The sequence below is a fragment of the Homo sapiens genome, chromosome 12 (genome assembly GCF_000001405.40).
Source record: "Homo sapiens chromosome 12, GRCh38.p14 Primary Assembly".
Taxonomy (NCBI): domain Eukaryota; kingdom Metazoa; phylum Chordata; class Mammalia; order Primates; family Hominidae; genus Homo; species Homo sapiens.
In genome coordinates this window covers 110,130,428-110,149,524 of record NC_000012.12, presented here as the reverse complement: position 1 = coordinate 110,149,524, position 19,097 = coordinate 110,130,428, and the positions used below count along the sequence as shown (strand labels likewise).

General features: G+C 39.6%; 1 protein-coding gene across 14 annotated transcripts in view; it reads right to left on the bottom strand.

The window, feature by feature from the left end:
- The window catches only part of IFT81 (intraflagellar transport 81), a 94,437-nt gene that overhangs the window by 69,269 nt on the left and 6,071 nt on the right, over positions 1–19,097 (bottom strand). For 10 of the 14 annotated variants that reach the window (NR_144952.2, NR_144951.2, XR_007063070.1 and 7 more), the window contains exons 5-10: positions 16,889–16,978; positions 14,512–14,577; positions 14,088–14,198; positions 12,665–12,749; positions 5,980–6,143; positions 2,477–2,572 (exon numbers count right to left, since the gene is read on the bottom strand). Coding sequence is in view for 7 of the 14 variants with exons in the window: in XM_017019217.2 (XP_016874706.1) it covers positions 2,477–2,572; positions 5,980–6,143; positions 12,665–12,749; positions 14,088–14,198; positions 14,512–14,577; positions 16,889–16,978 (612 nt within the window). In the remaining 7 variants the exon portion in view is untranslated. The remainder of the gene's footprint in view (positions 1–2,476; positions 2,573–5,979; positions 6,144–12,664; positions 12,750–14,087; positions 14,199–14,511; positions 14,578–16,888; positions 16,979–19,097) is intronic. The other 4 variants (NR_144950.2, NM_001347948.2, NM_001347947.2 and 1 more) reach the window with 2 other exon arrangements.

The following is a 19,097-nucleotide window of genomic DNA, read 5'->3' as shown; positions in this document are numbered from 1 at the left end:
CAGGGATACAGAAAGCCCTCTGTCCTTGTGATAAGGTAGGGGTCTAATTGAGCTGACTAACACAAGCCGCCTATGGATGGCTAAACTAAAAGAGCACACTGTAACACATGCCCACTGGGGCTTCCGCTGTAAACATTCACCCTTAGACACTGCTGTGGGGACAGAGCCCCACAACCTGCCTGTCTATACCTCCTCTAGAGGTTTGAGCAGTGGGGCACTAAAGAAGCGAGCCACTCCCCCTGTCACATGCCCTGCGATGGGGACAAGGGAACTTTCCCTGTTTCAGTTTCTAAATACCATTTCCTGCTAAAACAAACCAGGTTCATAGAAGAAAGCCTAATTCCAGGTCTAGAGTAGGAAATGTAAACGATGAGCCTAGAAATGACTTAAATAATGCAGAAAGCAAGGAAATTATCAAAGACCACTAGAATCTGAAAAGAAGTCAAAAGTTAACTTGAAAAGCCTCCCATTAGCCAAAACTGGGACAATTTGAGCATCATTAAGGATACTGTTTAAAACTTATAATGTCTAGGATTCATAATGAGATTAAATAAACAAAAAACAACAAAAAATAGCCCTAATTGATCACTTCACTGTTGGAGGATGCAAATGAGTTAGAGGAAACAAATTCATTATGAAAACTGATAAATAATGATAAAAACAAAGCATGTACCCTGCCTATCCTATATGAACTATAACTCAGGATAACCAAATAGTTGATGAGAGGTTTTCTCTTTATAAAAGTAGTCCAGGGCCAGGCACGGTGGCTCACACCTGTAATCCCAGCACTTTGGGAGGCCAAGGCGGGTGGATCATGAGGTCAGGAGTTCAAGACCAGCCTGGCCAAGATGGTGAAACCCTGTCTCTACTAAATATACAAAAATTAGCCAGGCATGGTGGTGGGCACCTGTAATCCCAGCTACTCAGGAGGATGAAGCAGGGAATTGCTTGAACCTGGGAGGCGGAGGTTGCAGTGAGCCGAGATCGCACCACTGCACTCTAGCCTGGGTGACAGTGAGACTCCATCTCAAAAGAAAAAAAAAAAGTAGTCCAGCTAATAAATGAAGAAGGAATCAAAATATGAATATTTTATAATTTATAATAAAATTAATGGATAAGCAATGAGCAATAATAGTAAGTGGCTGCTCAGACAACCGAGCATTATCACTTCCAAATAAAAGTATGTAATACCACCTAGAAAGTTTTCTTGCCAAAAAAAAATCAAACCAGATCTGTTCAAGCTCCTAGTTCTAATTTATAGGAAATACGGGAAACAAATGAACATGGTAAAACAACACCATAGGGTTGCAATCAGTAAAACACAAACTGTTAGAAATATCATGGGAAAAATGAACCAGTTTTGTCAACACATATATTGCCAAAAAGCACTAAATAGATAAATCGATGGGAAGAGAACATATGGATTAAAAGAGACAAACTTTCTGGGACAGATAGGTGACAGCAAAAAATAAATAAATAAATAAATAACTTATCAGCCAAATGCAATATATGAATCCTATATGGATCTTAATTGAAAAAAAGAGAGACAAGGGAATGTCATTGATTTCCTGGCTGACTGAATATTTTCTGATATTAAGGAATTATTAAAATTTTCAGATGTGGTATGTTGTGGTTAAGTTAAAAAGCCTTTATCTTTTAGATATATATTCTGAAACATTTATAGATGAAATGTTATGATGAAGTCTAAGATATGCTTCAAAATAATATAGTTGGGGTTGGCAGTATAGAGGAAACAAGAATGGCCATGAGCCCTGTAGCTCAGGGACACATGAGGGTTTATTGAACAATTTGCCTCTACCTTTGTAATTGATTGAAATTTTCCGTTATAAAGGTTTTAAAAAATTCTAATGTCCTTAAATAATGCTTTGTTATGTAGCTTAGTATTTTCTGAGGTTGTAGAGTGCTCTTCACACTAAAATCCTCCTGCCTTGGTTCTTTTCAGATAAGCCATGGCCTTCATTTGAATCTTTTATAGAAATATACAACAAGATAAGTACCCTCAAAAACTAAGTGACAATTTAGTTGTGGATAAAATAATAAATGCTTTAGCACTAAAATTTAATTTATTCTACACTTGCAAACTAACTTTAAACTTGAAAAAGCATACTGTTATTAACTCATTAAAAATTATAAATATTTTTATTTATACCACCTAAGGTAAGTTTTCATTTTAAAAATAAATTCCACAGTCACAGATACAAACACAAATAGCTCTATTACCACAGTTCGTACATGCTAAGGAAACTAAGCATTATTAGGGGTATCGTAATTTCAAACTTGAATAAGCATCTTTTGTGGCTTTTCCACTAATTCTTTGATATACTATGGAGATTAGCAGTGACAGAACAACATTTATTCTCTACTTCCTTCTCACTTTAAGACTATAGATAACACAGCCAGTGGTTCATGAATATGCTTACAGATCTAAATATGTGAGCCAAAAGAATGTTCTTACCTGTTGCCTATACAGTGAGAGTTTGCCTTCAATGGGCTCATTTCTCATCATTTTCTTTTCAATCAACTGGTTAATTTCTGTGTTTATTTCATTTATCTAAAATAGCATGAAAGCAAAAAAAAAAAGTTAAAACTTTCCCTATAAGTACACAAACTAAGTGACGTCTGGCCAAACCAGCTTTGAATTTATGGTTCTTTTTTTTTAAAGACAAGGTCTCAGTTTCACCTAGACTAATTTTTTTTTTAAGAGATGGGGTCTTGCTATGTTGCCCAGACTGATTTTGAATTCCTGGGCTCAAGTGATCCTCCCACCTTGGCCTCCCAAAGTGCTGGGATTACAGACGTGAGCCATGGCACCCATCTGGAATTTACAGTTCTTAACATTAAGTCTCTGATGGGCAAAACAGTTTCATTAATGTTATGGGGAGCTTGTTATGATTACCTTTAGAAACAATTTACATTTCATGACATATAATTACACAGTTTGATTACTTATATAGATTTAATCATCTATGTCTAAATTATCCTAAAGTATTTTACATGAAATATTTATACATTACCACAAAGATGCTTTCTAAAAATCTGAAGTTATCCCCTCACCTACGTTGTGACTTCAAGTCACTGAAAGTGATAAAGCAAATGTGAACAAATATGCACCAGGGATTTATTACAATGATTCATGAACCCAGCTGACAGTTGACAGGGATAACACCCTTCCTGTGCTAATAATCTGTGATTCTTCGATAACTATCATTTATCCTAATCATTAATCTAAATCTTTCCAAAATGTAATAAAACTGAATAAATCTGACAGAAGCATATAGTTCCTCAACATATCAAAACAAAAACCATGGTTTTCAGTGTATCCATCCTTTGAAAGATTAGAGTTCTCTCTAACCCTAACCCTAATTCTGTGACATTAAATTTTAGCCAGATTAGGCCGGGCACGGTGGCTCACATCTGTAATTGAAGCACTTTGGGAGGCTGAGGCGGGTGCATCATCTGAGGTCAGGAGGTCGAGACCAGCCTGGCCAACATGGTGAAACCCCGTCTCTACTAAAAATACAAAAAATTAGCTGGGCTTGGTGGCATGCACCTGTAGTCCTGGCTACTCCAGGGGCTGAGACAGGAGAATCACTTGAACCCAGGAGGTGGAGGTTGCAGTGAGCCGAGATCGCACCACTGGACTCCAGCCTGGGTGACAGAGTGAGACTCCATCTCAAAAACAAAACAAAACAAAACAAAACAAAATTTTAGCCAGATCTGACTTGGACATTTAATTTTTCTAAGTAAATTAAAAGAATAAAACAGTCAGGCCTGGGCGCGGTGGCTCACACCTGTAATCCCAGCACTTTGGGAGGCTGAGGTGGGTGGATCACAAGGTCAGGAGTTAGAGACTAGCCTGGCCAACACAGTGAAACCCCATCTCTACTAAAAATACAAAAATTAGCTGGGCATGGTGGCAGGTGCCTGTAATTCCAGCTACTGGGGAGGCTGAGGCAGAATTCACTTGAATCCAGGAGGCAGAGGTTGCAGTGAGCCGGGATCACGCCACTGTACTCCAGCCTGGGCAACAGAGCTACACTCCATCTCAAAAAAAAAAAAACAAAAAAAACCAAAACAGTCAGAATTATGTATTTAATTGTAGTGGCTATTAACCACATAGTAAGCACACTAAAGAATTAGCAAGTCAAAACATTTCAATTAGGCTGAGTGCAATGGCTCACACCTGTAATCCCTGCACTTTGGGAGACTGAGGTGGACGGAGGCAGGCAGATCTCTTGAATCTGGGAGGTCAAGACCATGCTGGGCAACATGGCCAGACCCTGTCTGTACAAAAAATTCAAAAATTGGCCAGAACTGGTGGCATGCACCTTGTAGTCCCAGCTACTTGGGAAGCTCAGGTGGAGGATCACTTGAGCCTGGGAGATGGAGGCTGCAGTGAGCTGTGATCATGTCACTGAACTCCAGCCTAGGTGACAGTGTGAGACTCCGTGTAAAAAAAAAAAAAAAAAAAAAAATTAGGCATAGTGGTGTGCGCCTGTAATCCCAGCTAGTCGAGAGGCTGAGGTAGAAGAATCGCTTGAACCCAGAAGGTGGAGGTTGCAGTGAGCTGAGATTGTGCCACTGCACTCCAGCCTGGGCAACAGAGCAAGTTCCGTCAAAAAAAAAAAAAAAAAAAAAAAGGCACTGCACCTGACCTAGCATTTTAATTCTAGGGAACAAAAATGGTATAATCAGGCCAAGCACAGTGGCTCACACCTGTAATCCCAGCACTTTGGGAGGCTGAGGCGGGCAGATCACCTGAGGTCAGGAGTTCAAGACCAGCCTGGACAAATGGCAAAACCCCGTCTCTACTAAAAATAAAAAAATTGGCCAGGCATGGTGGCACATATCTGTAGTCCCAGCTACTTGGGAGGCTGAGGCAGGAGAATGGCTTGAACCCGGGAGGCAGAGGTTGCAGGGAGCTGAGATCTCACCACTGCACTCCAGTCTAGGCAACAGAGCAAGACTCCGTCTCAAAAAACAAAACAAGTCCTGGTGCGGTGGCTCATGCCTGTAATCCCAGCACTTTGGGAGGCTGAGATGGGTGGATCACAAGGTCAGGAGTTTGAGACCAGCATGACCAACACGGTGAAACCCTGTCTCTACTACAAATACAAAAATTAGCCAGGCGTGGTGGCGCGTGCCTGTAATCCCAGCTACTCAGGAGGCTGAGGCAGGAGAATCGCTTGAACTCGGGAAGCGGAGGTTGTAGTGAGCCGAGATCACGCTACTGCACTCCAGCCTGGGCAACAGAACGAGACTCTGTCTCAAAAAAAAACAAAAAACAAAACAACAACAACAAAAACAACAACAACAACAAAAAATTAGCCGGGCATGGTGGTTCGTGCCTGTAATCCCAGCTAGTTGGGAGGCTGAGGCTGGATAATCACTTGAACCCAGGAGGCAGAGGTTGCAGTGAGCTGAGAAGATTGTGCCACTGTACTCTAGCCTGGGCAACAGAGCAAGTACTGTCTCAAAAAAAAAAAAAAAAAAAAAGGTATAACCTGATACCAGCTTTCAATAAGCATTACAATATTTAGTAATTCCAAGGCAGGTATACAAGGTTAATAAAAATATTAGCTTTAAATATAAAATTGCTATAATATTTTGCTTGGAAATAAAAATTAATGACAATTAAAATATTTCCAAATTTCCCATCTAAATGCTTACATTATGAAGACATAAACCCACTGGTCAATTCATATGCATTAATTTACATATTTAAGTTACTTCATTTGCTAATCAATTGATTATGTTTTCATAACATCATGTGGATTAAGTAATAGCATAACATTCTATAATTCCTCATAAAGGACAATTCCTCATAAGAGTTGTCAACTCTTAGCACAGGTTAATTTAAGAGTCAATAGTGGGATACTACAGAAAGCAGTTCACATAATTTTATAGGACTGGGGATCAGATAAAATTGAGAGCTATAAAAAGATGATTCTCACTTACTTTAGATTCAAGTTCAAGAAGATCAGAATGGCCCATAGCTGGCTCTGAAACTACTTTTTGTAAAAAATGTAATTCCTTTTTCTTATTTTCTAATTCTTTAGGAAATTTTTCAGTTACCATATATAAATTAAATTTTATCTCCTCCTCTAGCCTCTTCATTAAACCTTTAAAAATAAAATAAATAAATATTCAGCCCAAAAGAGTAGGTACAGTGATATTCTGTATACTATTTTAAATATAAGACCTGGATACGGCATATTTGTTGAAAACAAACTGTATAATATATAGCATAGTACAATAAAAGATTGGCCATTGAAATATTTTATTGTTAATTACAATGAAAATGAAGAAACATAATTTACATGGAAGAATATTTAAATAATTATAGAAAAAGTGCTATTATGACCCTTTCAAATTATAACCTAATTCTTTTATATCCCGCAATACGCAAAAATAACATGTGCTGAGCCAGATACATTGTTGGGTCATATTTTACCTTCTAAGCATTTAAGAGACCCATGAACCAAATGATAACACAAATAAAATCTAACCCAGGTGCTCTTTTATACAGATGATCATGTATTTTTTTTCTTTTGGAATACTTTTAATGCTATATATATACATATGTATTTTTTATTTTTTTGAGATAGGGTCTTGCTCTGTCACCCAGGCTAGAGTGTAGTGGCACTATCTCAGCTCACTGCAACCTAAACCTTCACAGCTCAAGTGATCCTCCCACCTTAGCCTCCTGAGTAGCTGGAAGTAGCTGGCATCACAGGTGTACATCACCACGCCTAGGTAATTTTTGTATTTTTTTTTGTAGAGACGAGGTTTTGCCATGTTGCCCAGGCTGGTCTCTAACTCCTGGGCTTGAGCAGTCACCTGCCTCAGCCTCTCAAAGTGCTGGGATTACAGGTGTGATCCCAGCCTCTCAAAGTTCTGGGATTACACTGTACCCAGAACAATTTATATTTCTATTATAACAGTTCATAAATGATAATTCATTATCATTTGTCAGCTTCAAGCCAATGAAGACATTACTAAAAGCACCACAAGTTAAAATCTAAAAAAGAGTAACAGGCCAGGTGCAGTGGCTCACGCCTGTAATTCCAGCACTTTGGGAGGCCGAGGTGGGTGGATCACCTAGGTCTAGAGTTCGAGAGCAGCCTGGGCAACATGGCAAAACCCTGTCTCTACTAACAATACAAAAATTAGCCGGGCATGGTGGCACATGCCTGTAGTCTCAGCTACTTGGGAGGCTGAGGAACAAGGATCGCTTGAACCTGGGAGGAAGAGGATGCACTGAGCCAAGATCGTGTCACCATCACTGCACTCCAGCCTGGGGGATAGAGGGAGACTCTGTCTCAAAAAAACAAAAGAAAAAAGAAACAAAGTATCTACCTACACATAAATGTTTTAAGTTTTCCATGTTTTGGTATTTTTTATTTTGTAAAGTATTATTAGTTTACAGTTAAGTGGCAATTTATATTTTTAAGATTTTAGTTTTCTTATTTTTGCAGTTGGACAACTATACACACAGATTTTCAGTGAATAACCATCTTGTTTTAAATTCCCAGCCTAGAGAGATTTACAAAGTTTATTTCATATCTTTCCATTTACACATTTACAAATTCTGACTTGAATGTTTTTTGTTTTTTGTTTTAGATGAAATCTTGCTCTGTCACTCAGGCTGGAGTGCAGTGGTGCATTCTGGGTTCACTGCATCCTCTGTCTGCCTCCTGGGTTCAAGCGATTCTCCTGCCTCAGCCTCCTGAGTAGCTGGAATTAGTCGCACACTACCAGCTCGGCTAATTTTTTGTATTTTTAGTAGAGACAGGGTTTCACCATGTTAAGGCCAGGCTGGTCTGCAACTCCTGACCTCAAGTGATCCGCCTGCCTGGGCCTCCCAAAGTGCTGGGATTACATGCGTGAGCCACTTCGTCTGGCCTGGCTCAAATTTTTAACACATGGGCTTTCTGGTTTAAGTAATCTGTGTAATAGATTGCATAATACATCTGGCCCAAAGCATAATACATCTGGCCCAAAGCCTTAAAACTATTTTTAGTTCCATCGTGCTAACCATATATTAACATGTAAAATTTTATTAACTGCAAATTCTAAGTTTTCCATTCATTACTTCACTATTCCTTCTTTTTTCAGGATTAGAGAAAGGAAGAGAAGAGAAAGTGTTTAATAAATCACACTGTAGGCTGGGCGTGGTGTCTCACACCTGTAATCCCAGCACTTTGAGAGGCCAAGGCAGGCGAATCACCTGAGGTTGGGAGTTTGAGACCAGCCTGACCAACATGGAGAAACCCCATCTCTACTAAATATACAAAAAATTAGCCGGGCATGGTGACCCATGCCTGTAATCCCAGCTACTCTGGAGGCTGTAGAGATGCTTGAGGTAGGAGATTCGTTTGAACCCGGGAGGCAGAGGTTGCGGTGAGCCAAGATCATGCCATTGCACTCTAGCCTGGGCAACAAGAGCAAAACTCCGTCTCAGAAAATAAAAAATAGGCCAGGCGTGGTGGCTCATGCCTGTAATCCCAGCACTTTGGGAGGCTGAGGCGGGCGGATCACCTGAGGTCAGGAGTTTGAGACCAGCTTGACCAACATGGAGAAACCCCGTCTCTACTAAAAAAATATACAAAATTAGCCGGGCGTGGTGGCATATGCCTGTAATCCCAGCTACTTGGGAGGCTGAGGCAGGAGAATGGCTTGAACCTGGGAGGCGGAGGTTGCAGTGAGCCAAGATCACGCCATTGCACTCCAGCCTGGGCAACAGGAGTGAAACTCCATCTCAAAAAATAAATAAATAAGTAAATAAACAATAAAAATAAATAAATCACACTGTAATTAGTCAGTCATTCCTATGTGGTTTTCGATTAAATCTACATCCTGACTTCTTTGTCTGTTAGATGACCAGCTTTTCCATCCTCAGGTTCTTAAGTGTACCCCATGTAATTAGAGATGCATGGAATCAAAGACTAAAATGTTTTTAAAGATTTAAAATTCTCAAATAATATTTTCTCTATTTAAAAAAAAGTTTCTAATTCTAGCAAATATAAACTGATTTATAGTGACAGAAAGCAAATCCATGGTTGCCTGGGGAGGGACAGAAAGGCAGAAGGGGGCAAGAGTGAGACATTAAAAAGGGTCAGTGGAAATGTCTGGGGTGATGGATAGGTTTGTGATCTTGATTAAAAGCTGATGGTTTCACCAGTGTATGCGTATGTCAAAAGTAATCAAGGATACACTTTAGGGCATGGGAGGAAAGGGGAAGAGCATTCAGACAAATACTTAATGTGTGCGGAGCTTAAAACCTAGATGACAGGTTGATAGGTGCAGCAAACCACCATGGCACATGTATACTTATGTAGCAAACCTGCATATTCAGCACATGTAACCCAAAACTTAAAGTAAAATTAAAAAAAAAAATTTAATACATTTTAAATATGTGCTACTTATTTATTTATTGAGACAAAGTCTTACTCTGTCACCTAGGCTGGAGTGCAGTGGCACAATCATAGCTCACTTTAACCTCAAACTCTTGGGCTCAAGTGATCTTCCTGCCTCAGGCTCCTGGACAGCTAGGACTATCGGCATGTACCACCATGCCCAGCTAATTTTTTATTTTTTATTTTATTTTATTTTATTTTATTTTATTTTATTTTATATTTTATTTTATTTTATTTATTTTATTTTATTTTATTTTATTTTATTTATTTTATTTTATTTTATTGTATGTATGTATGTATGTGTTTATTTTGAGATGGAGTCTCACTCTGTCGCCCAGGCTGGAGTGCAGTGGCGTGATCTCAGCTCACTGCAAGCTCTGCCTCCCGGGTTCATGCCATTCTCCTGCCTCAGCCTCCTAAGTAGCTGGGACTACAGGCACCCGCCACCATGCCCGGCTAATTTTTTATATTTTTTTAGTAGAGACAGGGTTTCACCATGTTAGCCAGGATGGTCTCGCTCTCCTGACCTTGTGATCCACCCGCCTTGGCCTCCCAAATAATTTTTTATTTTTTGTAGAGATAGATTCTTGCTATGTTGCCCAGGCTGGTCTCAAACTCCTGGGCTCAAGTGATCCTCTTACCTTGGCCTCCCAAAGGAGTATGATTATAGGTGTGAGTCGCTGAACCATACCAAATACATGCAGCTTTTTCTTTTCTTTTTTCCTTTTCTTTTTTTTTTTTTTTTTTTGAGACAGAGTCTCCCTCTGTTGCCCAGGCTGGAGTGCAGTGGCACAATCTCAGTTCACTGCAACTTCCACCTCCTGAGCTCAAGTGATCCTCCCACCTCAGCCTCCCAAAGTAGCTGGACTACAAGCGTGCACCACCACACCTGGCTAATTTTTGTATTTTTTTGTAGAGACAGGGTTTTGCCATGTTGTCCAGGCTGGTCTTGAACTCCTGGGATCAAGTGATCTGCTCGCCTTTGCCTCCTAAAATGTTGGGATTACAGGTGTGAACCACTGCACCAGGGTTTGTGTGGTTTATTATATGTCGATTTTACCTCAATAAAGCTGTTTAAAACATAAAAACCAAGTTTCCATCAAATTTTAAATTACTCTCTTAAAAAATTTAACTTAGACCTTGAAAAATAGTCATATGTTTCTATGAAAAGTTTTAAAAGCATTATCTTTCAAAATCCTGGGTAAATTAAATACAAGGTCACTAAGATGTCAGCAAACTTTTATATTAAAAACCCTTTGAAAACATCTCACTGATCCTACTATAATCAAATGAGTGTCTTCTTTTATGTAATAAATCTCACAAATGTGTGGAGTATAACAATGATTAGCCTCAGCCGGGCCCAGTGGCTTACGCCTATAATCCTAACACTTTGGGAGGCTGAGGCGGGTGGATCACCTGAGGTCGGGAGTTCAAGACCAGCCTGACCAACATGGAGAAACCCCGTCTCTACTAAAAACACAAAAATTAGCTGGGTGTGGTGGCACACACCTGTAATCCCAGCTACTCCAGAGGCTGAGGCAGGAGAATCGCTTGAACCCGGGAGGCGGAGGCTGCGGTGAGCTAAGATTGCACCACTGCACTCCAGCCTGGGCAACAAGAGTGGAACTCCATCTCAAAAAAAAAAAAAAAATGATTAACCTCAGTGAATGTTTTATAATATAGCTGTTACTCTGCAAAAAGACAAATTATACTGTCATACTAAAAGTACTTTTTGTTATTTAAGTAAACATTAGCTTTTGTAAGCCTTTTTTGTTACTGAAAAGTTAGAGCTTATTAAACTAAATACCTGGATCAATTAAATATGTTTAATCTACCCTTTTCCTAGGCTGTGAACAGATCACTTTCCACTTCCCAGAAAGATGTCAACGAAGTAGGAACTCCTTAACCTCCTGCTCCCTGCTCTTGTAGAATTTCATAGATTACTACAGAAAGATGAATTAACCCTCTATCAGCTATTTACATTGGGATAGTTCTCCAGTACAAATGAGAGCTTTCCACTGCTCTTTCAGTTTGCGTGGTCTTTCTTCTGACAAGCAAAAATGCTTTGTAAAATGCCTAGGATGGATCTGGTGGTGTAATCTGGGCTGTTAGGACAGTTTATCCTCTGTGTTAAGCTAATGTAAGAACAGAGCCAGAGATACCTACGTCATTAGCACTGTTATTCTACAAACCAAAATATGAAAAACACTCGGTTTTAAGGATCCAGCATTCTATTCTTTTTCTTTATAGCCCTGGCTTTAAAACAATGATTCATAATTTTTCCAACCATCATTTTCACAACGTCCATGCTAAGTCCTTTATTTATTTATTTATTTATTTATTTTTCTTGAGACAGAGTCTCAGTCTGTCGCCCAGGCTGCAGTACAATGGCGCGATCTCGGCTCACTGCAACCTCTGCCTTCTAGGTTCAAGCAATTCTCCTGCCGCAGCATCCTGAGTAGCTGAGATTATAGGCACATGACATCATGCCCAGCTAATTTTTTTGTACTTTTAGTAGAAACAGGGTTTCACCATGTTGGCCAGGTTGGTCTCGAACTCCTGACCTCAAGTGATCCACCCGCCTCAGCCTCCTAAAGTGCTGGGATTATAAGTGTGAGCTACCACGCCCAGCCATGCTAAGTCCTTTATACAAGCACAAACCAGACAGCCTCCCTCCACAGTTGTTTTCATTATCTTCACTCTCTGATGTGAAAAACTGGTTAGGAATTGTTTGTTGTTGCTGTTAAGATGGAGTCTCGCTCTGTCGCCCAGGCTGGGCTGCAGTGGCGCGGTCTCGGCTCACTGCAACCTCTGCCTCCCAGATTCAAGTGATTCTCCTGCCTCAGCCCCCTGAGTAGCTGGGATTACAGGCACCCACCACCACGCTCTGCTAATTTTTGTATGTTTAGTAGAGATGGGGTTTCGCCATGTTGGCTAGGCTGGTCTCGAACTCCTGACCTCTCGCCACCTCGGGCTCCCAAAGTGCTGGGATTATAGGCATGAGCCACTGCACCCGGCCATCTGGTTAGGAATTTTTAAAAACATCTGGTGAAAACCCAGGGATGTCTTTATCAGGGCTCTCCTTCTCCAGCTAGGAAATGATGTTCCAAAATGCTGAGACATCACTTGATGATAACTAATTCTCACAAATTGATTTTTTAGGAAGATCGTGATTTAAATTAATATTTTCTAATCATCTATACCATATAATAATTTCCACTTACTTTCAGGCTTTGCATCTGCTGCAGCTTGGCGCATGCTTTTCAGCTGGTTTTGTACTCTTTGCAATCTTTGCACTGCATGAAATAGCTTTAAAATACAATTAAATAGATTACTTGCTTAGTCTACTGAAGCTTACCTCTCACTTAGGCAAGCAATGAAAAATACAAGTTCCATATAATTCTTATGATATAAAAGGAACAAATAATAAGAACTCGGAAAATTCCCATATTAAACCCAAAATGTAACTGGTTCTCTCAATACCTTTTCACATACATTTTTTAAGGAAGTTTTCACAAATTTTTCTTTAGTTATTTACTGAATTTGCGGTTTAAGGAAAAATACTTATCAAAGAAACACACACACCAGATTTTTCTTGTTATACATGGTTTTCTTAAGGCCAAGTAATGTTAACATTGATATAGTGATGTTTCAGAATCACAAACCAACGCCAAGTAACCATTCAGGGCTTAGGCGATGCAGCTTACTGCTGCAGTGAAACTACTTCGATGCCAAGTCAAGTGCCAGCAAAATCAAACATTTAAACTGCTGATTTAGTAGTAAATGAAGCTTATGTGAAATATATTTTAATGTATAAGTCTACTCAGATTTTAAAATAGATTTTTAATAAGTAAAAGTAATAATTTCTTAGCAAATTATTTTTCTTTAAGGCAAAGTTTAAAAACATGGAGTGTAGGTGATTTTGAGCCTTTTCATGACTTATTTGCCATTGTAGTAAACTGCAGAGGGTACTGTGATCACTGGAATAAAAAGAATGGTCTCATAGCCCTGGAATCTAAAAGCATCCTGTAGAGATTCTAGAAGTTTTATTAGCAGTTAATCTTACTGTTAACATTACAATGACTCTTCTGTAATGTTGGAACAACACGAGGTAAGCATAGGCCAAAAGACAGTGTATAGATACAATTCAGAGTATAAAACCCAAAAAGTGGTATTGTTGTTGCCACAAAATATTTATCTTTTTTTTTTTTTTTTTTTCAGACAAAGTCTCACTCTGTTGCCTAAGCTGGAGTGTGGTGGCGTGATCTCAGCTCACCTCAACCTCCACTTCCTGGGTTCAAGTGATTCTCCTGCCTCAGCCTCTGGAGTAGCTGGGACTACAGGCATGTGCCACCATGCCCAGCTAATTTTTATATTTTTAGTACAGACAGGGTTTCACTGTGCTGGCCAGGCTGGTCTTGAACTCCTGACCTCCTGATTCGCCCGCCTCAGCCTCCCAAAGTGCTGGGATTACAGGTGTTAGCCACTGCACCCGGCCTGAAATATTTATCTTAATTAAAAGAGTATTCCATTATGTTAGCAAAAGGAACGTGAACGTCTACAATTTTAAAACTCTTTTCTTTACATTTGGATTATGAGAAGGAACTATTTCCTTCATACTGAGAATATAAACTTTTATGTGGATACCTGATTCTTTTGTTCCTGTTTCTGTTGTGCAAGATATTCTTCTCTCTCTTTTTCAACTCGAAGTTGCCTTGCTATTTTAAGCATCCATTGATGATTCTGAGCTGTCTCAACCTACAGTAAGGGAATAAGTAGTACATGTTACTGTCAGGTTTGAAGAAAAAAATTAGCATGTCATGTGACTCAGACATCCACTTATCATTTCCTTTTGGTAAACAGTACTCCCTAGAGATGACAGTAAAGCTCTAGGCTCCAGGTCCTTGAAAGTGCTGGGCTACTGTCTAGAGAGATTCCCTTTTCGTCAATGTTATTTGAGTCCATCCTCAGATGTACACTCATGCTTGGCTGAATCTTTATTTGCATTCCTAAATCTTTGCAAGTCCTTGGGACTTGGGGCCAAAGTCTTACAGTACTAATTCTGCCTTACCCTTTTCTTCAAATGTTCAACTCTCTTAATGAGCTGATCCTTTTCTTCTTCCATTGCACTGATATCCTAAAAAGTGGCAAAGAAGACCTTATAAGAAAAAGTATTCTCAGTCTGTAGGAAACAGATAAGGTTTTATTTTGATTATGCATCTAACATTTTCATCATTTATAACCACAGCATTAACAACCAAGATCCTCTTTTGGATGAAGGTCATTTCTATTTTTCCCCCAGGGCTTCTTATGCAGGGTAATTTTTTTGGCAGCTTGGTGTTCATCCAGAAATGCAACAAAAACCAGTTATAATGCAGCAAGGTAAAGCTGCCAACCAGCACATTTGTGTTCTGATTCCAAATATGGGCACATGATTTTTGAAAAATTTTCTATAATGGAAAGTGTGCAGGTCTAAATACATGAACAACAGCTGCTGACATCCCATCTGTTCTGTTAAATACCAAGCCATATATTTTGCCAATTTTCCATCAAAATTATTTTTAAGGCTATGGTATTTTCATGACATAAGTTTGTACCTGGTTTTTCCAATGAACCAATTCCGTCTCTGAAAATAAAGACTTCAAAAATAAACTTCCTTCCTGTTAACCAGCTTCATAGTATTTTGTTATAAAAACAAACAAATAAAAAAACTCCTTCCTAAATCTAAAAAACTAATAGCTTAAATATCGCAGTAATAGTAAAGGTAAAATATACACGGTAGTCAGTATTGACAGAATTTGGAAAAATGGGCACTCTTACTCATTACCGATAGCACTGTACTGAAGAACAATATCAAAAGTCTTAAAATATAGCCTGGCCAACATGTTGAAATTTTGTCTCTACTAAAAATACAAAACTAGCCAGGCGTGGTGGCAAGTGCCTGTAATCCCAGCTACTTGGGAGGCTGAGGCAGGAGAATCGCTTGAACCCAGGAGGTGGAGGTTGCAGTGAGCCAAGATTGCGCCATTGCACTCCACCCTGGGTGACAGAGTGAGACTCCGTCTCAAAAAAAAAAATCTTAAAATAAATGTTCATCCCTTCTAGCCCAGTAATTTTATATCTGATGATTTGTCCGAATAAAACATTCATGAAAAGACATCCTCTGTAAAGATTCTCATTAATGCAAGTTACATCTACAATTTGGAAATGACCAAAATGTATGAGGATTGTTAAATAAATCACCACATAATACAATGAAAGTCATTAAAAATCATGCAGAAGAATGTTTAATGACATGAGAAAAAGTCATGAAATGACATTAATTGAAAGAGGCGGATTACAACATTTATCTACAGAATACCAAGAAAAAGATTTAAATATATTTATCAAAATGTCAACCATAGTTGTCTCTGGAGAACGAGATTATGAGTGAATTATTTTTTCTTTTCTTTTTTTTTGAGACAAGTTCTCACTCTGTCACCCAGCTAGAGTGCAGTGGTATGATCATAGCTCACTGCAGCCTTGAACTCCCAGGCTCAAGTGATCCTCCTGCCTCAGCTTCCTGAGTAGCTGGGACTACAGGCGTGCACCACCATGCCTGGCTAATTTGTTTTTTTTTTTTTTTCTGGAGACAGAATCTTGCCATCATGCCCAGGCTGGTCTCAAACTCTTGGGCTCAAATGATCCTCCAGCCTCGGCCACCCAAAGTGTTTGGATTACAGGCATGAGCTACCATGCCTGGCCTACTAAAGTATTCTTGAACATATGCTTTGTAGAAAATTTAGAAAATATGATTAAACAAGAAATAAAGGCTAGGTGCAGCAGTGGCTCATGCCTATAATCCCAGTACTTTGAGAGGCCAAGGTGGGAGGATAGCTTGAGCCCAGGAGGTCAAGACCAACCCGGGCAACATGGCAAAATCCCGTCTCTACAAAAAAATACAAAAATTAGCTGGGCATGGTGGCGCATGCCTGTAGTCCCAGCTACTCAGGAGGCTCAGGCATGTGGATCATTTGAACCTGGGATGTCGAGACTGTAGTGAGCTGTGATCACACCACTGTACTCCAGTCTGAATGACAGAGTGAGACCCTGTCTCAAAAAAAAAAAAAAAAAAGAGAGAGAAAGCTTTAGTAATAATGAATAAATTAAAATATAGACTCTAGGTTCTTGTCATTATTCTGGTTTACTTACAGGACATAATGGAGGAATAGTAGATGGACATATATCACTCTTCTTCCGTACTGTAAGTAACTACTCATCGTGAATTTACCCCAGTCTCATCAATTTCATCAGTAAGGAACTACCAAAGGTCCCCCCACAAAGTAAAATGTGCCATTTGCTATCACTAGTCTCCATATAGTCTTAAGACTCATACTGAATTAATAAAATGCTAAATCCAATATTATTCAAATCCCAAAAAAATTGTTACTATGTTTTCTTTCCTTTACCTTTCTTATTTCTGCTGTAGAAAATCCAGATATCTTGAGCTGCTCATATTCTTTATGCAAAGTTTTAAAGGCTTCCATTAACTCTTCATACTAGAAGAATAAGTTAAGAAATTATAAACTAATAACTAGATCCAGTAGAGTTTTCTTTCTTTCTTTCTTTCTTTTTTTTTTTTTTTTGAGACAGACTCTTGCTCTGTCGCCCAGCCTGGAGTGCAGTGGCACGATCTCGGCTCACTACAACTTCCGCCTCCCAGATTCAAGCGATTCTCCTGCGTCAGCCTCCTGAGTACCTGGGATTACATGCGCGCGCCACCACGCCCGGCTAATTTTTGTATTTTTAGTAGAGACGGGGTTTCACCATGTTCAGGCTGGTCTCGAACTCCTGACCTCATGATCCATCCGCTTTGGCCTCCCAAAGTGCTGGGATTACAGGCGTGAGCCACCGCGCCTAGCCATAGAGTTTTCTTAATCAGGTTATCTATTAACTTACAGCGATTACTTAAGTCATTGTAAGAACAGCATTAAAAACACAAAAACACATCCTTATACATTTATATAGGGTACAAAAAAGTACATCTCTACCATCTTAACACTAAATACTTCTCTATCTTCATTTCTGGTTACTTTCCTGCTTCACACTCTACACTAGCTATGTTGATGTCTGAGTTCCTGAACATTCCATGCTCTCACGTCCAGCTTATACATCTATGACTCCCTCACCCATAACTTAAGCAACTCCTTTTCATCCTTCAAGTCTTCACATAGATTCTACTATTCTCAGAGAAGCCTTCTCTGGCCCTTTATCTATCCTATCAGAGTAGATATCATGTACAATTATAACTGACTATTATAATTTTCTGTCTGTCTCCCTCCATCATATAGTGAGAGCCAAGAGGAAAAGAATCATATTCATTGTGTACACCCTTGTATCCCTAGGGCCTAGCACAGTGCATAACCCATGGAGGTGTTTAATATAAAGTAGTTGAATGGGCCAGGTGAGGTGGCTCACACCTGTAATCCTAGCACTTTGGGATGCTGAGGCAGATGGATCACTTGAGGTCAGGAGTTCGAGACCAGCCTGGCCAACATGGTGAAACCCTGTCTCTACTAAAAATACAAAAAATTAGCTGGGCACAGTGGCGCACACCTATAATCCCAGCTACTCAGGAGCTTGAGGCAGGAGAATTGCTTGAACCTGGGAAGTGGAGGTTGCAGTGAGCCGAGATCACACCACTGCACTCCAGCCTGGGTGACAAAGCGAGACTCTGTCTCAAACAAAAAAAAAGTAATTGAATGAATGAAAAAAATCCTGTTACCTAAAAATTTTTTAAAATAGTTTTTTTTTGTTGTTTTTGAGACAGGGTTTCACTCTGTCACCCTGGCTGGAGTGCAGTGGTGCGATCACAGCTCATTGCAGCCTCGACCTCCCTGGGCTTAGGTGATCCTCCCACCTCAGCTTCCCAAGTAATTGGGACTACAAGCTTACGTCACCATGCTGGGCTAATTTTTTTATCTTTTGTAGAGATGGGTTTCACCATGTTGCCCAGGCTGGTCTCGAACTCCTGAGCTCAAGCAATCTGCCCACCTTGGCCTCCCAAAGTGCTAGGATTAAAGGCATGAGACACTGTGCCTGGCCAAAAAGTTATTTTGATGGGGAATGACAGAATAATATTTTTCTTGATTGATCATATCTTAAATCTACAAATTATTAATTATAAGACCCTTCATTCCAAAAGATAATATGTATTTTTATTAGGATTCCTGAAATGACTGGCTAAATGTGTAAATCATTATATATTGTAAATCATTGTGTGTGTGTATATCTCTTTCTCATTTTATATATATATGTATATGTATATACATATATATAGAGAGAGATACCTGTCAGATATGCTTCAAGAACAAGTATGTCTTTATTACCATTAATTCTTTCATCAACTAGCTGAGCATATTTAGCAAAGACTTAATCAGGTCGTGCACCGTGGCTCACGCCTGTAATCCCAGCACTTTGGAACCCGAGGTGGGCAGATCATGAGGTCAGGGGTTCGAGACCAGCCTGGCCAACATCATGAAACCCCATCTCTGCTAAAAATACAAAAATTAGCTGGGTGTGGTGGTGGGCACCTGTAATCCCAGCTACTAAGGAGGCTGAGGCAGGAGAATCACTTGAACCCAGGAGGCGGAGGTTGCAGTGAGCCGAGATTGCACC